This window comes from Homo sapiens, chromosome 21 (assembly GCF_000001405.40).
Source record: "Homo sapiens chromosome 21, GRCh38.p14 Primary Assembly".
Taxonomy (NCBI): Eukaryota; Metazoa; Chordata; class Mammalia; order Primates; family Hominidae; genus Homo; species Homo sapiens.
In genome coordinates, this window is record NC_000021.9 from 25124222 (window position 1) to 25127380 (window position 3159).

The window sequence follows — 3159 nt, forward strand, 5'->3', positions numbered from 1 at the left end:
AGTATGTAGACAAACTGATAATTATTTTTACTAAGGTTAAGTAATTATTTGTGAACTACTTTTAAAGTGAAGCTGGTGCCATTTGGGGATCAGATGTTTTAATTCCTAATTTTAATCCTTGATGATAGAGCGTAAGTGCCCATGTGGACTCTTCCCGGGGGGAGCCCACAAAATAGTCAGAAAAGTACTGGCTCTCTTACATAGTGCCTGAGTAGTGTACTGCCTTTATAGTTTGCTCAGCTCCTTTCATCTGTAATAGTCCACATGGAAGACAACATAGAACCACTGGAATCCCTAAATGATGACTATACAGATGACTCTCAGTAACTCTCTTTGTGCTATAAATACAGTATAAAAATAACTACACTGTGCTTCAATATATTCAGTTGTTGAGTAAAAGCAGGATAAGGCCTTAAGAGAAATGGATTTCTTGACAGTTAGGGTCCATATTATCAAACTAAAATTAAACAGCAATTTCCCCACAAGCCAATCATGCATTAGGGAGACCATCACTGTTATAAATTATGTAACAAGGACAGAAAACATGGTTCCAAGAAGGTTCTAAATGCTTCATACTAAATGAAAGTTTAAAATCACTTGAATTTTAAGCAGAGTGATATAGACCTGGGGGGTAACAAAGTCGTTTCCAAGTTCTGATCATACACAACTGTTGATAACCAAATGTTTAACATGGGAAATAGAAGAGTGAAATAAAGGTCTATAGTTGCTTTTATTTACATTGGCCATATTTATCTCACAATAGTTACTTGACTGCCATTGTTTGCATTTGTTTCTACTTTAAAATTTTAAAGGAGCAGCAATTGTCTCTTTTTATGATTAGCATCAACCTCTGCATGGGTTTATGAAGAAGATGCATTGCTTTGTTAAGGAAGGATGTATTACATACTGTAAGCTTAGTATTTTACCAGGAAAAAAATAGGGTAAAGAGCCATGTAAGATGTGCTAAACATATGACCTTAAGATGCTATATTAATTTAAAGAATGGAGACATGGAGTAAATAATCATTGGTGAAAGTAAGCCCTTTAACTTATTTTAAACTCTGTTATTTATAATTCAGCATTTTTCAATAAGCCTTTAGGAAGCTTTCACTATTTTGACTATGTCTCTGTTATAATATTAAGAATGGAGGTTCATAGAGTTTTACATAACATTTTTGCAACTATAAGAAATTAAACATTAATTATTGATCTGTGAGGTTTAGTTTGACATATCTGTCAAACATATATAATTTGCTTCTTAATAGAATCCAGTTTAATCTCTAATATTTAAATTACAATTTACTTTGCCTTTATCGTTGGCTTTTACCTTTCCTATTATTCACATTGTCTCTTTGCTATGTTTGCTCCTCATGTGATGAATTTCTGACCTTTTAAAAAAAGAGCATACACATTTGCAAATTTCATGATCCAAATAGTCTTTCTGAGATGAGTATTTCACCAGTTTTATAATTTCTCAATTGTAACTGTTAAGCAAATTACAATTAACCATCTCCCAGTTTGCTCAACCATGTAAATGCTTGTTATTTTTGTTGATTATATAAAGCAGACTTTTTATTCTTTTGGCAAACAAGATAGAGAGGCTATAAACTAAACATCAGAATGGGCCATAAAATTTTTTCTGTTAAATCAATTTCCATTGCTGGCCTCAGAATATACATACAATGTAGCTTAGATATATTTCTTGAGAACATTATACCAATTTCAATACATTTGCTTTTCTTTAATAAAAAATATGTGACAGTTGTACTGAATTCAACATTCAGCTGGCAGGGATTACCAATCAGATTCATTCAAAGTGCTCTTGGGGTCAACTTACTTTTCAGGAGCAAATAAATCTAGCAGTGTGTAGCAAGTCTTCATGAAATAAAATTATCATTTTTTATCGAGAAACAGTAATAAAAAAAAACTTGTCTGTAAAAACTACTCCTGTAGTCCCAGCTACTCAGGAAGGTAAGGTGGGGGGATGACTTTGAGCACAGGACTTTGAGGCTGCAGAGAGCTGTGATCTCGCCGACTGGGCAACAGAGCAAGAGGCTGTCTCTAAAAAAGAAAGAAATCCTCACTGGCTGTAGTATAAAAAGTATAACATTAAGAGGAACAGCGATGAGCCTGGAAATGGAATCTATGTGGATTTAAAGACATTGGGTAAATCAGGATAAAAAAATTCTAATGCTGGTCTTAAATATTTAAAATATTGATTTACTTGATCACATAGCTGCAGAGTTTATCAGCTGTTTCTTAACCAATAGCAAGTTCAATTATTAGTGTCGAATCATCAAGTTCACTTTCTCTATGGACAAAACAATGGAGAAATCTTTGGAGGTTAAATTCTAGTTCCACGAATTAATTCAGAATATTTGGATAATTTCCAATATTATGTCTTTGATTTGTGTTGACCAAGGCTAAATTACTCTCCGTTGGTTTATGTCTGCTGGCAGGAAAATTAATTAGAAAACCATAGTCATGGCCATCCCAGTGCCCCAAATGCCATTCAGAATGTTCCAGAACACTTTTATTAAAAACAGAAAATCTATCAAGTTCAGCCTTACGTGAATAAACCACTTAAGTGTTTAACTCATCTGTGGATGTCTGATATAATTTGATTTGCAGAGCACATGGGGAAAGGATATAAACAGCAGACACTATGAGCTATAATATATATTTTCTTTCTAATGGGGCATTAGTTGTCATAACCTTTTGAATGTGTGTTTCTTTATACCCAAGCAGATGTACCTTACCTATCCCAACCATTGAATGTGTATTTCAATTTACTTTTCCTGTAGGAAAAAAAGATTTGTATTAATCCTGAATTAAACCCCCTGTCAATAAGCAGGGTGTAGAAATGTGGTTAATGGCTGGAGAATATTTAATCCAAGGCCTTACACAAACATCTCCTACTGCAATCACTCGAGCTACCTTGGAACTTGATTAAACTATGAAGAAATGAGACCCACAGGTTCTTAACACATCACTACTTCCTGTCACATCCCACTAACTCAACAGTACATTGGAAATTATGACTTACATTGGTTTCAATTCCACAAGATTATAGGCACTTTTAGGTATTATCAGTAATTCATATATAACTGGAATCACAATTTCCTCACCCAGAGGATGGGTGATGCCAGAGGATTATAT

General features: G+C 33.9%; 1 annotated feature.

Annotated features, from left to right (window-relative positions):
• Positions 2723-2892: an enhancer, noted in NCBI's record as "experimental_61844 CRE fragment used in MPRA reporter constructs". NCBI's record gives its function as "activates a minimal promoter by MPRAs in K562 erythroleukemia cells, with activity observed for the non-introgressed 21:26499342 variant allele {active_cell/tissue: K562}" and the evidence as "EXISTENCE:reporter gene assay evidence [ECO:0000049][PMID:34662402]".